The sequence below is a fragment of the Homo sapiens genome, chromosome 20 (genome assembly GCF_000001405.40).
Source record: "Homo sapiens chromosome 20, GRCh38.p14 Primary Assembly".
Lineage (NCBI taxonomy): Eukaryota > Metazoa > Chordata > Mammalia > Primates > Hominidae > Homo > Homo sapiens.
In genome coordinates this window covers 63,154,969-63,169,788 of record NC_000020.11, presented here as the reverse complement: position 1 = coordinate 63,169,788, position 14,820 = coordinate 63,154,969, and the positions used below count along the sequence as shown (strand labels likewise).

The 14,820-nt window shown below is 58.9% G+C and overlaps 1 long non-coding RNA gene across 1 annotated transcript, besides 2 other annotated features; it reads left to right on the top strand.

The window, feature by feature from the left end:
- Window positions 995–1,769: an enhancer, noted in NCBI's record as "H3K4me1 hESC enhancer chr20:61799372-61800146 (GRCh37/hg19 assembly coordinates)". NCBI's record gives its function as "activates a minimal SCP1, AML or CMV promoter by ChIP-STARR-seq in primed H9 embryonic stem cells {active_cell/tissue: H9 hESC(primed)}" and the evidence as "EXISTENCE:reporter gene assay evidence [ECO:0000049][PMID:30033119]".
- Window positions 2,379–6,939, top strand: LOC124904952 (uncharacterized). Its single transcript, XR_007067715.1, has 2 exons — window positions 2,379–2,415; window positions 2,639–6,939. It is a non-coding gene; the product is annotated as an uncharacterized LOC124904952 (long non-coding RNA).
- Window positions 2,521–2,721: a silencer, noted in NCBI's record as "peak4310 fragment used in MPRA reporter construct". NCBI's record gives its function as "represses an SCP1 promoter by STARR-seq MPRAs in K562 erythroleukemia cells {active_cell/tissue: K562}" and the evidence as "EXISTENCE:reporter gene assay evidence [ECO:0000049][PMID:32103011]".
- Window positions 6,940–14,820: the final 7,881 nt, after the last annotated feature.

The window sequence follows — 14,820 nt, the reverse complement described above, 5'->3', positions numbered from 1 at the left end:
AACAGGGAAGGTGGCAGTGGTAAGAGTGATGCAGTCGCCAAATTCACAGGGATCTTGAGGGCCAGACCCTGACCCCAGAGCTTTACAGGAACCCCCACCTAATGCTGAGGGAGGGTGCAGGGAGAGGAGGACAGGAGCCCTGAGGGTTGACGATGGAGGCTGCAGAGACCAAGTGAGGGGCTCACCCTTCAGGCCCTGCAGGCTTTGGGAAGAGGAAACCCCACCCAGGGATGTTGGGGGAGCATTTACAGAGAACAGACCAGAAGAGCAACCTATCTTTCCAGCCCTGCAGGAGGAGAAACTTCTAGAGAATGGACCAGGCTTGCTCAGCTCCCTAGGCCCCAATTCCTGATTTCCGGGGGCCTCCCTTAGCAGGGGGTAGGATGCCTGAAATCCTGCCCACCCTCTGCCCAGATGTCCCTGTACTCCCTGAGGCCTGGGAGGGAGCCACACTGCCCTCCCCATCCTGTGCCTGGGATCTGTGGGCTCTGCCAGCAGGGGCAGGAGGTGCCACATGGTGAGGGGTGCCTTTGCTCCTGGCTTTGCACTGCCCGGCCTGGGAAACGCAGACCCTGCATCTCACCACTGCCTGCAGGGCCCCTACACCGAGCCTTGGGGACTCTCCTGTGTGCTGGCTGGCTGAGGGTCATCGGGGGGCTTGGGGTGCCACAGGATATCAGCCCCTGTAGGGGTAGATCAAGGCAGCCAGCAGTCCCGCCACGCAGGTGTGGGTGAGGATGGGGTCCCAGCAGTCTGCTTATCATTCCCAGCTCTGAAGAGGGACCTGGAACCATGCCTGCAGGGCGCCAAGCTCCAGGCTGGGTGGGGCAGCCACGGAGGCGCTCACTGCTGTGTCTGTGCCATGCTACTGCCCCAGGGCTGGCACGTGGGGTCCCCGGGTCCCTGGCTGGGGCCTGCCGAGGCCTGGGTGGTGGCTGGTGCCATCCCAAGGCCCTTCCTATGGGGCTGTTTTGTTCATAATTTGGTTTAATTCAAAACAGAAGCACCTGGAACCTGCCTTGCATCCCTTCTCCTCCCCTCTGGGCAGCAGGTTTTGGAGGGGACATGCCATTCGCAAAGCTGCAGTGGTACCATCAGGGTGGTCGGGGTCTGGCTGTCCTGCCCCAGGAGCTCAGCAAACAGGCTCGCTGCAGGCTGTGGAGTCTCTCTGGAAGATTCTGGGGTCTCACAGGGCAGGAGCCACCGTGAAGAGGACAGAGGGACGTCATCCAGGGCGTGGGTCTCACATCCCAGGAAATGAGGGTGCCAGCTGCACCTGAGGACCTGGGGCGGGAGCCTCGCCATGGTCCATCTTGGGGAGCGCCTTCCCTGAGCCAGCTGCACCTGAGGACCCGGGGCGGGAGCCTCACCATGGTCCATCTTGGGGAGCGCCTTCCCTGAATGCTTCCTGCTGTCCCCGCCGGACCTCAGGCGTCCTCTCGGGCTGTGTGTCTCACATGATAGGACCAGGAGGTGCTGCTGCCTGGGGGGCCCGGTGTGGGGCTCCTCCAGAGGCTTTGCCTCAGAAGGGGCAGATGAGGCCTCTGCGTGCCGCCGTATCTGCGGGTGGGCTGGCACCACTGTTCTATCTCCTTCCAAAGCAGAGAACACAAGGGCCGCCCTGCCAGCCCCTCCCATGCCCGCTGGCCCCTCAGAGCCAGGCCCAGACGCCTGCCAGGGGCGCCTCACACCTGGGCTTTGTTGCCACTGGCTGGAAAGGACAGAGGTAGGGCAGGAGGGAGGGGCTGAGCCAAGCTCCGGTCTCCACAGGGCGGAGTTTCCCTGGGCGTCCCCAGAAAGCATGGACAACTGCCACCTTTTCCTCCTAGGACCGACCCCAGGGACCCCCCAGTTCCCCCACACACCCCTCAGTGAGCCAGGTTCGAGGCTGCAGCTGCCAGAGTGGGCCACCCCCAAGGGCAGCAGCAAGAAAGCAGGTTCCAGGTGTCCTCCTTCTTTCAGCCCTGCTAGGAATGGGAACTGGTGGTTTCAACATTCGCTGCAGCCGTGCTCCGCTGACGGGGCCCCAGCAGCCTGTGGTGTGAGAGGAGGCTGGGGATACAAGGCGCCCAACAGGGTGCAAGTTCCCTCCCAGCAGCTCCCCATTTTTCCCTCGTCAGGGTGTGGCGGAGGTGGGAAGGGAAGGAGCCTGTGGGGTGCCAACTCCTGAGGGTAGCCCATTCCAGCAGCTGCTGAGGAGGGGATGAGGAGGGGCTGAGGAGGGTCTGAGGTGGGGGCGGAGGTGGGGGCTGAGGAGGGGCTGAGGTGGGGGCGGAGGTGGGGGCTGAGGTGGGGGCTGAGGAGGGGGCTGAGGTGGGCACTGAGGTGAGGCTGCGGTGGGGGCTGAGATGGGGGCTGAGATGGGGCTGAGTGCTGGTGGGAACCATGAGTGACTCCAAATCTGGAATTAATTTGGTAAGTATTAGTCGAGGGGATGGATAGCAACTTGTTGCGGGAGGGATTTGGCATGTCCACTGGCCTCGGCGGGACGGGCTGGCCATTCCAGTGAGCTGGTGGCAGCCAGTCTGGATGTCTGGACGTCGGTGTCTGCTCTGTGGAAACAGGAGCAATGAGGATGTGACTTAGTCAAAGACTGAGCTGTGGCTATAAAACGGGTTTCCTTGTCTTTGTTTCACAGATGATGAGACTGGGGCTGCAGGAGCAGCCGATTCCCAGTCTTCCCCTGCAGGAAAGACCGGGAGGCTGTCCCCGTGGTCTCACCGGCCCTGTGCATGGTGACCTGGGCCTCCAGGGGAGTGGCCGGGTGCCCTGTTGGATGTCCTGTAGCGAATTTGTCTCTGGGAGAAGAGCAGAGAGATGAAGGCCTCCATGCCACAGCCCAGGCCGTGCACATTTGTGTTGACCTTGGCCACAGGCCGACGGCGCGTCTGCGAGGTCTCTGCATTGCAAGGCCCTTCTCCTCCTGAACTGAAGGCCTTCTTCCTCCTTTCCCCTCCTGATTCTCTCGCCCTCCTGGTGCATCCAGGTGCCCGTGATCCTGTTCCCGTCCTCGGCGTCCGGGGCTCCGTTCTTTCCACCTGGCGTGTCGTTCCCTGAGCTGGAAGCTCCTGCCTGGGTCCTGTCCTCCTGCTGTTCCTCATCCAAAGTTTCATGGACACCAAGACAGGCAGTGCCCTCCACCATAAGCTGGGGAGCCCTTGGGCCCTGGTGTCACCACATCTTCTCAGAGACCTCCACCTTCCTGGCTTCTCCCTCTTCTTCCTTCCGACGTCTTTGTCCTGCAGACAGCCTGGGTCTTGCTCTGGGTGAGGCATCCTGGAGCTGAGACCTTGAGGCCTGACCTAGTGGTGCCCCTTGGCACGGCCCGTTCCTGACAACACAGTGGTGTCACAGGATTGATTCTAACGCCTCATGCTCCCTAACAGTGAAAGTGACAGTCAACTGGGCCTGTAGCGTGTTCAGAGGAGCTGGTGAGGAACCCCCTGGAGCCCCGGAAAGCTGGATCTAGTGCAGCCCCGCACAGCCCTGGTGGAGGCCAGCTCTGCCGTTTGCCGTGTGCCCTGGGGTGCATGCTGTCTGAGGGTGCACCCTGTGCATGACATGGTGGCAGCCCCCACCCTCCCATGTGGAGGGAACAATAGCAGTGAAGACCCAGGAGCCACCGGCTTCCAGGAGGAGGCCCTGGTCTTTCTTCAGAGCAACTTCGAGGTGCGACCCAGGATACACTTTGGGAAATGCTGGCCGATGGGCAGCCCCGGCCTCTGGTGGAAGTACACGTCCCTCATCCCAATATAAGTGCGTGCCACCTCCTTGTGCGGATGCCCAGGTGTTCACTTCCCTGTCCATGGAGCATACATGAAGCACCTACTGAGTGCAGGGGCACCACAGGTGTTGGGCAGAAGGGGCAGCTCGAGGGCTTTGGGGCCGGGGAGGGACAGGAGGTGCTCGCTCTCATCCTTCCTTGAGTGGGGCTCTCTCAAAAGCTGGGTTCAAGGGTGATGCCTCCCTTGTCCATTGTAGGCCTAATGGAGGATTCGGGGCAGCAGGACCCAGAGAAGTTGTCCCTGGCCATGAGCTTGGCCCTGAGCTCTGTGAGTGGCTCTGCCCTCCCTGCTTGTCCAGGTGCCTCCCGCATCCCAAGCTCAGGGCAGCCCGGGTCTTTCAGTTCAGTGCTGAAGAGAGTGGCTTCCATGTGTGCCCGCCCTCTCTTCGGAAGGCCGCCTCTGCTCTGAGTGTGCGGTGTGGGCCCTTGCTCTTTAAACGGTTGCGGCGATGGGTGGGTGAGCATGTGTGGGGGCCACAAGCTGAGTGTGGGGTTCGAGAGTGACCCAGGTCGGTCCTACCACCTGGAGCTTGCAGACGGGAGCCCCAGGTGAGAGTGGGGTTCCTCCCAACTAGGGGGCAGTGGGAGGTGCTGGCCGAGTCTGTCTCCCATGAGGGCCAGGCCCAGGTGACTGTTGATGGTGAGAGGGGTGTGGCCGCTCTCCCGAGAGCCCACAGTCAGTGGATCAGGGGCGAATGTCTCAGCCTTGAAGGTGCCTAAGGACCTTGCTCGGCTGTGGTTGAAAACCTTCTGCAGGCCAAGCAAATGGGAGCTGCAGCAGGGAGATTAGGCAGCCTGCGGGCCACGGGATGGGCTGCAACAGGGAACCTGGGGTCTGCTCCTGGGAACACCTTCCTGGGCTGCCCCCACCCGGCCGATTGGACCCAGGTGGCGGCTCTAACCCGTCCTGCCCACCGTGTGGGCCTGAGGTGCGTGAACAGGATCCAGGTCCATGGCCGCTGACTGTGTTCTTCCCGTGCATTCCTTGCCACTAACCCTCCCACCCCAGACCCCTCCACCTGAGTTCTCAGCCCTAAGGGCCCGTGTGTCTCTGCCCCCAGAGCCAGGCACGGGGCCAGCACCCAGAGTTTGTGGCCCTCTTTGGCTACTGATTCATATGTCTGGGACTGGGTTCTGGTCAAGGGGACTTCCTGAGAAGCCAGTGGCGGTTAGCTTCCAGCTTCGGGGTCCCTTCTTGCACGGACCTCTGCAACACCCTGCACCCAAGTTTTGTGAGGCCCACCATCCTCTGGGCCTGGGACTTGAGGCATCCCAGCCTCTTCCCACCACCATGTGGGGCGTTAATCATAGGGTTGACATTCTCCCCGCTGCACACAACAGGACGTCCACTTCTGAAGCTGTCAAAAGAGCTGCGTATGATTCAGGGCAAAATGGAATTCTCAGAATCCCCAGAATTCACTGGGGAGAACAATGAAATGAAGGAGAAATATAATCCAGCAAAGACCCTGCTAGCCCCCTGGGGGTTCTGGCAGAGCCGGGGTCCCTGCCCCAGCTTGCACCCCAGGAGTCACGTGGAGGAAGCGAGCAGTGCCTCCTTCATGCTTTCTGACTGCTCTGGCCAGAACCCCACTGCAGTAGATGAGAAACTGCTGCAGAGCCCAGGAAGGAGATCCTGCCCTGGGCTGGCCCCCAGCTTTCTCCAACCGCCACCCACAAAACTGGTTGTGCCTAGATGCTCCCAGGGGTTGTGAGGTCATTGCCCAGATGTGTGTCGGCCAGGCCTGTGGTCGCTAGTTGGTAACTGTCCAAGGGGGGTAACTGGACCATCTCCTGCAGGAGCTGCTGCACTGTGCCTGGTCCCAGGTAGGAATTCAGGCCTTGCCAGGGCACCAAGGGACCCACTGTGGGACCAGCGACCTGGCTGCCTGCATAGGTGGCAGAAGATTTCAGTAGAAACAGCACCAAGCAATGCCAGGACCCCTGGGCCAGGTCAGGATTAGGAAAGCAAATTGGACCTGTTAGAAAACTCCGGGGCCAGCAGGAAAGCGGGGAGCCTGCCCTGTGTCAGCCAAATGGTTAAAGGAGAAGAGTAGAATCCAGGGGAAATCAAGCCGTCAAGTCGTTAATTGACTTTGCCTCAATCAGCCTGATGCATATTCATGAGGCGCCAGCCCTCCCCAGGCCTGTGCAGCAGTGTGCTCCCCTCTGTCTGAGCTGCTGTGACATGGTGGCTCCCGCCTCCGCCTGCCTGCAGTCAGCCTTGATTGGCCCAGCCGCTCTCTTGAAAATGCCATAGCAACCCCTGGCTGGTTGCCTAGCAATTCCTCCCTTTTCCCTTTTCCTCCCCTAAAGCCCAAGCGAGTAGTCCACAGGCTTCTGGTGGAACATGTCTCTGTGCCATGGCAAGTGCCTGTGTGTGTGTGTGCGCACTCATGTGCGTGAGAGGACAGATCCGGAAGGGAACACTTCCTGCCAGCAGCGTCTCAAAGACTTGGGAGTGCACCTGCTGCCTGTCTCGGTACCAGCTCACCTGCTCAGGGGTAGGGGACATGGGGGCATAGACCCCTGGCCCTGGCAGGGCATCCTGTGCTGCTCACTTCATTATCACCAACCAGGATCCCCAAACCTGAGTCACTGGGGAGCCGTGGCCGCCATCAGCATGGTGGGATGGAGGGTTGGCTTTCAGCCCTCCCAGGTTCCTTGATTCTGAAGCAAAGATGACTTTGATGCTCAGGCCCCAGCCAGCGGAAGGACAACAGGCTTCTGCCATTCCATGGACCAATGTGGGTCCAAAGGGTCTACCATTCTGCACAGGGCCAACTTCAGGGCAGCTGTCCGGGGCTGCAGATGCTCCCTCACAGGCCAGGTGGGGCTTTCAGCTGTGACAAAGTCTGGATGTCCACCCCTGGTGAAGCCACTAGGAGGCTGTGGGGGAGCCGAGGGTAGTGTCCAGGAGCCATTGAGTCCATCTCAAGGCTCTCTCTCCTCTTGGATAGTGTGTGCCCGTGTGCATGTGTGTGCCTGAGCATATATAGGGTGCCCTCAGAGAGTGCATTGGGTGATGATGACTGATGTGGGCAGTCTTTTCTTTGATCAATGGAAGCAAAATCATTTATGGCCCACGCTGAGCTTCCTTCTCTGGTTTCCTGTTAAACACAGCAAATGTGTGTCTCCAATAAAAAGCTACACAGCAACTTAATCTCTGATCGATTGCGAGGAAAGGAAAATAAAACCCTGCTCCCTGGGGATGGGCAGCCTCTAGGCAGTTGTTCCTGATATAGAATGTGGGCAATAAATGCATTAAATATAAATGGAGTGACGGAGAAGAGCGATAAACCCTGGTTCCTCCACGCTAATTGAAAACCACGTCAAGGGTTGATGAATGTAGAGGTCCTCTGGGGCAGCGGGAGGCCCTGAATCTGTTTGTGCTGGGCGCTCACCCTTCCTGGCAGGCAGGGGCTATGCTCTCTGTCTGGGGTAGGGGGTGGGGTTGGGCAGGTGGGGAGGGCATTTGCAGCAGGTCCCAGGAGACACCCGGCATCTGCCCGCCCGAGCTTGCTCCACTTCCTGGGAGCTTCCCTGGACGGTCTATCCGACTGTTGACCTGTCAACTCCCTAAGCCCCAGAGCGTCCTGTAAAGCCGATGCATGATTCACAAGTGTCCCAAATCTCCAGAGATCATGGAAAGGCTGGGATTCCCCTTTTCAGGCCGGGAGGTGTTTGTGGACCCCAGCGGGTGCCACGGCGGTGCTCCAGGTGCCGTGTGGAGCTTAGACCATGGCCTGAAAAGGACTCGTTCAGCCCTGTGTCTGACTCCAAGGCTCTTTCATTCCATATTTGACCAATATCTACCAGGACACAATGACGGTCCAGGCCCCACGCTGGATGCTGGGTGCAGGCAGGGCTGAGCAGTGGCTCTATCAGCACGGGCTCTCTGGTTAGCCAGGAGACCAGTCTGCAGCCCCACAGCGCTAAGAGCTGTGGAGGGAGCCAGAAAACAACAGAAAATTCTTCCCTCATGTTCTGGAGATCAAGGATCTGAAATCAAGGTGTGGACAGGGCCTGCTTCCTCCAGGAGCTCTGTTGGTGGGGGATGTCCTTCCTGCCTCTTCAAACTTTCAATGGCCCCAAGCGTCCCTTGGCTTGTGGCTGCCTCGCTCCAGCCTCGGCTCCCCTCTTCACGTGGTGTTCTTCTCCGAATTTGTGTCCATCTCTGCTTCTCTGTCTCACTGGATTTGGGACCCACCCTCATGCATGGTGGCCTCATTTCAGTATCTTTCCCTTCGTTATGTCTGCAAAGACCCTTATTCCAGATAAGCTCATAGTCTGAGGGTCTGGTGGACAGGAAATTTGGGGTCCAACATGTGCCCAGTAGGGATGTGGTCAGCGGGCCTGCATGGCCACTGGAGGCGGAGGAGGTGGTGGGATCCTGGCGCAGGTGAACCTTGCCAGGGGCTCCACGTCTGCAAATGGCCATGGGGTGAGTCAAAGGCGGGAGTGGGGGCACCCAGGGCAGGGAATGGCAGGAAGGGGACTTGGAGGTCAAGGGAGGAGGCAGAGGCCCTCCTGGGGCTGGATGTGTGTGACTGTGGCCAACACTCTGTAGTGTTTGGGGGTTAACTGGGGAGTCAGGGGCTGGAAGGGCCCCTTGTTCTTGGGTGCAAAGCTTACGTTAGGAGCTACAGGACGTGGTCAGCGGCTGGCTGACCCCTCAGGCAGGAGGCCGGGCCCTGGTGCTTACTTCCCACTGTCCTCTGTGTGTGCCCGGCCAGGCCTCCCTGGTGTGGTGCCCCAGGACCCTGTGAAGGAAAGAGGCGGAAAAGCCTAAAACAGCACCGCAAATGTCACCATGGAAGCAAAAGGTGTGTTCCTTGCAGGAACCTCCGGGACAGAGCAGCAATGGAGGGGGCTTCTTGGGGCCTTGAACGGTGGGCACGTGACCCATGACCACCGGTTTGTCCTTCCAAAGTCTTGGTTGAGCCACCGGGTCTCAGTATGGGCAGCAGAGGAGGTGACTGAGTGGGGGGCAGTGGGTGGCTAGTGTGAAGCTAGGGCGCCTGTTACCACTCAGCCTCCTCCAGATGGGCCCAGGGGCTCCCAGCCATGCTGCAGTTCTGGCCCAGATCCCAAGGCCCCTCGGCAGGTGTCCTCAGCAAGCCTCCCCTGGCTTTGGTCTCTGCACCTCCAGGGTTGGAGCAGATTTGCCTCCCGGGCTCTAAGGCCTCACTTTTCCCAGGCAGGTGTGGGAGGGGCTGTGCACACGGCTGACAGGGGCCTGCTTTTCCCATGGCAGTCCTGAGTGCTCAGGAAAGCACCCTGGCCTTGGGGTCCTCCCTCCATGGAGAGGAGCCTCCCCTGGCTGCCCTGGGCTATACTTCCCCTAGCCCGTGAGGATTGTCCAGTCCCATCCAGCAGGACACATGCCCCTGCCAGAGCTTGGATGTCAGAAGAGGCCAACGTCCTGTTTGGGAGCTGGCAGCTCAGCCCAGCCACATAGCCTGAGGCCCCCAACAGTGGAGCTGCTCAGGGTGGATGTCCCCTCTGGTCACTTGGGAATGTCCCCTGTGACGGCAGAAGCTGCACAGTGCCCTCTGGGACCAAAGTGGGATGTTTGCCCGCTCCTGGCTCCATCAGCCTGTAGACCCTACCAGTGGATCCCATAGCTGACAGGAGACTTGCCCAGGGCCAGCCCTGGGGCCTTGGCTGTCCAGCTTTTAACGAGAGGTGTGGCCCAGCTCCTAGTGGGTGTTTCTGAAATGCATGGCCATCAGGCTGCTTCCACAGGCCAGGGCTGCGGGGCTCAGAGATTGCCTCCCTGGGCACATGGGATCCCCCAATCTGATGAGCCCCTGGGGGGGGGCTCACTGCTCCCCTCCCTCTGGTGGGAAATGGACAGCCTGGGCTGAACAGGAAGCACAGTGCTGTCCTGCCTTGTGAAAAGAGGGTGACCCAGTCTGTGCAGGGCCAGGCCCAGAGGTGAGGAGCGGAGCAGGCTGGGGCTGGCAGCATGGTGCAAGGTGGCCCCACAGACGCCCGGCCCAGGGCCTTGTCCTTGTTCCCCAGCTCCTGAGTTGAGCCTCACCCACAGGCCCCTGGGAGGAAGCAGGGTGATGGGCCTGACCATCTCGCTTTCTGTGCTTTTCTTGGGTAACTAATAGCTTTACTGAGATACAACCCACATGCCCCACTTCACTCTTTCAAACCGCACAATTCAATAATTCTTAGCACGGTCACTTTTTTTTAATGTTTTTTTTTTTTTGAGACAGAGTTTCGTTCTGTCGCCAGGCTGGAGTGCAGTAGTGTAATCTCGGCTCACTGCAACCTCCGCCTCCCAGGTTCAAGCAAATCTTCTGCCTCAGCCTCCCCAGTAGCTGGGATTACAGGCGTGCGCCACCACATCCAGCTAATTTTTGTATTTTTAATAGAGACAGGGTTTCACCGTGTTGGCCAGGCTGGTCTCGAACTCCTGACCTCGTGATCCGCCTGCCTCGGCCTCCCACAGTGCTGGGATTACAGGCGTGAGCCACCCGCCCCGGCCCCCGGCCAGCATAGTCACAGGCCCGTGCAGCCATCACCCCTGATCCGCTTTAGAACATTTTTATCCCCCAAAGGAAGGTCTGTGCTGCTTTACCTTGCCCGTCCCCACATCTGTCCCAGCGACCGCGCCTCTACCTTCTGTCTCTTTGGAAGGATTTGCCTATTCTGGATGTGTCATACACACAGAACCACACGATACATGCTGTCGTGTGTGTCTGTTTATTCACTGAGCACGACGTTTGCGAGGCTCCCTGACGTTGTAGCATGAATCTGCACATCAGTCCTTTTGTGACCCTATCACATCCCTTTGTCTGGGTGTGCCCCGTTTTCCTGATCTGTTCATCAGGATAGACATCTGGGTTGTCTCCACGTTTCGGCTCGTCATGAATGAAACTGCTGTGAACGTGGGTGCACGTGTTTTTGTATGGCTGCTGTGAACGTGGGTGCACGTGCTTTTGTATGGCTGCTGTGAACGTGGGTGCACGTGCTTTTGTATGGCTGCTGTGAACGTGGGTGCACGTGCTTTTGTATGGCTGCGTGTTTTCATTTTTCCTTGCTACATGCCTAGGAGCAGAATTGCTGGGTCACGAGGTAACTGTGTTTACCCCAAAAGAATGCCCCCCAGGGCTGGGTGAGCACCACCTGAGTACATGGGGCCCCACGGCTGAGCCCTGGGAGGGACCTCACAGCCTACCCCAGAGGTTTTGAGGAACTGCCAGACTATTTCCCAAAGTACCTATGACATTTCACATTCCCACCAGTGGCGTACTAGAGTTCGTCTTGCTTTTCTTACTCTCTGGAGACTAAAGTCATCCATTCACCCACCTAATCCTCCATCCACCATCCACTCATCCACCATCAATCCACCACCAATCCACCATCTATCCACCCACCTAGCTACCATCCATCCACCATCCACAGCCCACCCACCATCCATCCACCATCCATCCACCAACCACAACCCACCCACAATCCATCCACCATCCACCACCCATCCACCATCCACAACCCACCCACCATCTATTCACCCATCCCCCATCCACCATTCACCCACCTACTCATCCACCCAGCCACCATCCATCCACACCCCACCCACCATCCATCCACCATTCACCATCCAGTCACCCATCCCCATCCATCCCCATCCACAACCCACCCACCCCCTATCCACCATCCATCCATCCATCCATCCATCCATCCATCCATCCATCCCCTGAATTATCCTCCTACCCATCCGTCCTTCTATTCATTCATCCTTCCACCCACCCACCCAGTCATTCACCTATCCATCCACGTGTTCCCCAACCACCTGCTGAACACTAAGCCTGTGTGATCAGGACTCAGCGCTGACAACCCTCCTGTCCTCTAAGTGCTGTGAGGATCTTGAGCAGGGGAAACGCAGTTGTAAGCATGTGCACGCTCACTCAGGAGTGTGGGCACCTTCCCACCCTCACTCAGGAGCGTGGGCACCTTCCCACCCTCGTTCAGGAGCGTGGGCACCTTCCCACCCTCGTTCAGGAGCGTGAGCACCTTCCTGGGAGCTCTTTTGCTTTTTTTTTTTGAGACGGAGTCTCACCCTGTCACCCAGGCTGGAGTGCAATGGCATGATCTCGGCTTACTGCAAGCGCCGCCTCCTGGGTTCAAACGATTCTCCTACCTCAGCCTCCAGAGTAGCTGGGATTACAAGCATGTGCCACCACGCCTGGCAAATTTTTGTATTTTTAGTAGAAACGGGGTTTCACCATATTGGCCAGGCTGGTCTCGAACTCCTGACCTCGTGATCTGCCTGCCTCGGCCTCCCAAAGTGCTCGGATTACAGGTGTGAGCCACCGCGCCCGGCCTCTTTTGCTTTCTAAAGGAGGAGTGTGATGGGGCGATGGCTGCACCGGCGCCCTCTTGTGCTTGGGGGAGCTTCAGGCCCTGATGACCCTCTGGCTCAGGGACCACACACTGCTTCCCACGTGGCTCTGCCCATCTGCAAGGCCCCCACCTCTAGGACTGACCTCCCCCAGGAGCCTAACAGGGCAGCAGCACTTCTCAAACATAAATGTGTGTTTGAGTTGCCTGGAGGTCTTGTGAAAATGTGGACTTGGATGAAGAGGGTCTGAGGTGAGGCCTAGGATTCTGTTTCTGAGGAGCTCCTGGGAGAGGCTGACACTACACTGTTTTGGAGAAGCCCAGGGACCAGGCGCCTGCGCTGCACTCTTCCAGCCCTCGCTGCTGTAACGTGCATCTCACCCCGTCAGTTTCCCTCCCTGCTGTAACGTGCATCTCACCCCGTCAGTTTCCCTCCCTGCTGTAACGTGCATCTCACCCCGTCAGTTTCCCTCGCTGCTGTAACGTGCATCTCACCCCGTCAGTTTCCCTCGCTGCTGTAACGTGCATCTCACCCCGTCAGTTTCCCTCGCTGCTGTAACGTGCATCTCACCCCGTCAGTTTCCCTCGCTGCTGTAACGTGCATCTCACCCCGTCAGTTTCCCTCGCTGCTGTAACGTGCATCTCACCCCGTCAGTTTCCCTCGCTGCTGTAACGTGCATCTCACCCCGTCAGTTTCCCTCGCTGCTGTAACGTGCATCTCACCCCGTCAGTTTCCCTCGCTGCTGTAACGTGCATCTCACCCCGTCAGTTTCCCTCGCTGCTGTAACGTGCATCTCACCCCGTCAGTTTCCCTCGCTGCTGTAACGTGCATCTCACCCCGTCAGTTTCCCTGTTGTTGGCACAGGGAGGTGTTATTTCTCTAGACAGACAAACCTGCCCAAGGCAGGAGCCTCCCCTTGCACACCTTGAAACCTGGCATCATTGCAGGGCCCTCCGTCATAGGACGCCCAATGGGCTCTGCAGGAAGCGCTGGGGGGCTGATGGAGGACTCCTTAGCCTCCCCAGCTAGCGCCCCAAGTGAGTCATCTGTGGTCACCCTAGCCACAAAAGGGCCAGGAACTTTGAATCCCTGGGGGGAAACTGGACCCAGGAAAGAGGTGCAGCCACAGCCCACAGGCCTTTGCTGCCAGGAAGGATGGCTTTGGCGGTGGGGGGCATAATCCCACCTGAATCCAGAGCTCCGTGACCCAGTGCGCTCCATGTGGCCAGTGCACTGTGGGCTGCCACCAGCCTGGCACAGTGAGGCCCCTGCCAGCAGCTGGCAGCCAGCAGGGCTGGCAAGGGCTGGGCACACAGCGATAATCCCGGCCTGCTGTCCCCAGGGAATTAGTGCCCGCTAATACCTCCTGCTCCCCGGGCCGGCACTCTGCCTGACCTCGCCACCACAAATAGCAGCACACACGAGCCAGGAGCTTCATCTTTAAAAATTAATCCAGCTCAGCACAGAATTAAGGAGGGCATCCCTTTAGACAAAGGTGCTCAAGGTCAGGGGAGACAGGGCTGGCTGGGAGCCACAGAGCATTGTTTCTCCTGTAAATAGGGCGGGGAGATTTTACGGAAGGGAAGAGATGCCACCTTCTCCCGCAGGCTCCTGGCCACTGCGGAGGCCATGGGCGGGTGGAGGCCCAGGGGGCTGGCTTGCGGGAGAGATTTTATTGAATGAGGGAGCAGAGTTTGGCTTGGAAAAGGCCCAGAGAAGTGGCGGGGTGAGAAGAGAGGAGCAGGCCCACTGGGGATCAGGCTTGGGGTCAGCCAGGGCCACTATCTTCACCTGAAGCCAGTGGGACTCCACAAAGGCCCTCCCAGCCCTCACTCCGCCCTGTGCTGTACTGTGTCCAGGGGCTGCAGTGGGGCAAGGGGAAGATGCTGCTGGTGGGAAGTAGGTGGGGCTCATGGGCCCCAGGAACCAGTGGGCTCCCAAAACAGAACTTCCTCCTCTGAGGCCTGCAGGGTCCGTAGACCTGGCCTCTGTATCCAGCCTGACTTCCACCCAGGGCAGCCATGGAGCTGAAGCCGTCCTGAGCCTGCTCCTGCTGCTCCTGGACAGAGACTCTGGGGCAGGGTTAACCTGCACCCCTGTACCCTGCTGCCTCTTGGACATCTCAGCCAGGCCTGGATGGAGCTGCCTCCAAGGGGCCCCTCTGCCCTTTAGCAGGTGCAGAAGAGACATCACTGGCACCAAGGGCGGGACCTGTGAGAACCCCGAGTGGGGAAGAAGAGGCCGGAAGAAGGCATGTAGGAGAACTGGCCCTGCTCCCTGCTCGCCTCCTCCCTCCCCTCCCACTCCCGTATTCCAGCTGCCCTGCCAGCCTCCAGCCTGGGACATCCCCTTCCTTCTTACACAACCCCAAGGATGTTTGGGGTCTAGGGTGGGGAGAAAAAGGTTTCCAGAAAGCCAACAGCTCTATCCATGGGAAACCAGCTCTGCTGAGCAGGGGGCTTGTTCCCATTTCTGAGACAACTGGGGTTGCCTGCAGCCTCTAATGTGAACAGGAGGGAGGGCTGTGTCTTGCTTGTCTGCTGTTTCAAGAGCAATTTCTGCCTTGTACATGTGTTTTGGAAACCACCTTGTGTCCTCATTTAAAAGCAGAGAGCAGAACTTTGTAGCTGAGACAGGCCCTTGGATATGGGCTAGGACCAGGCAGCCTGCAAATGGACAG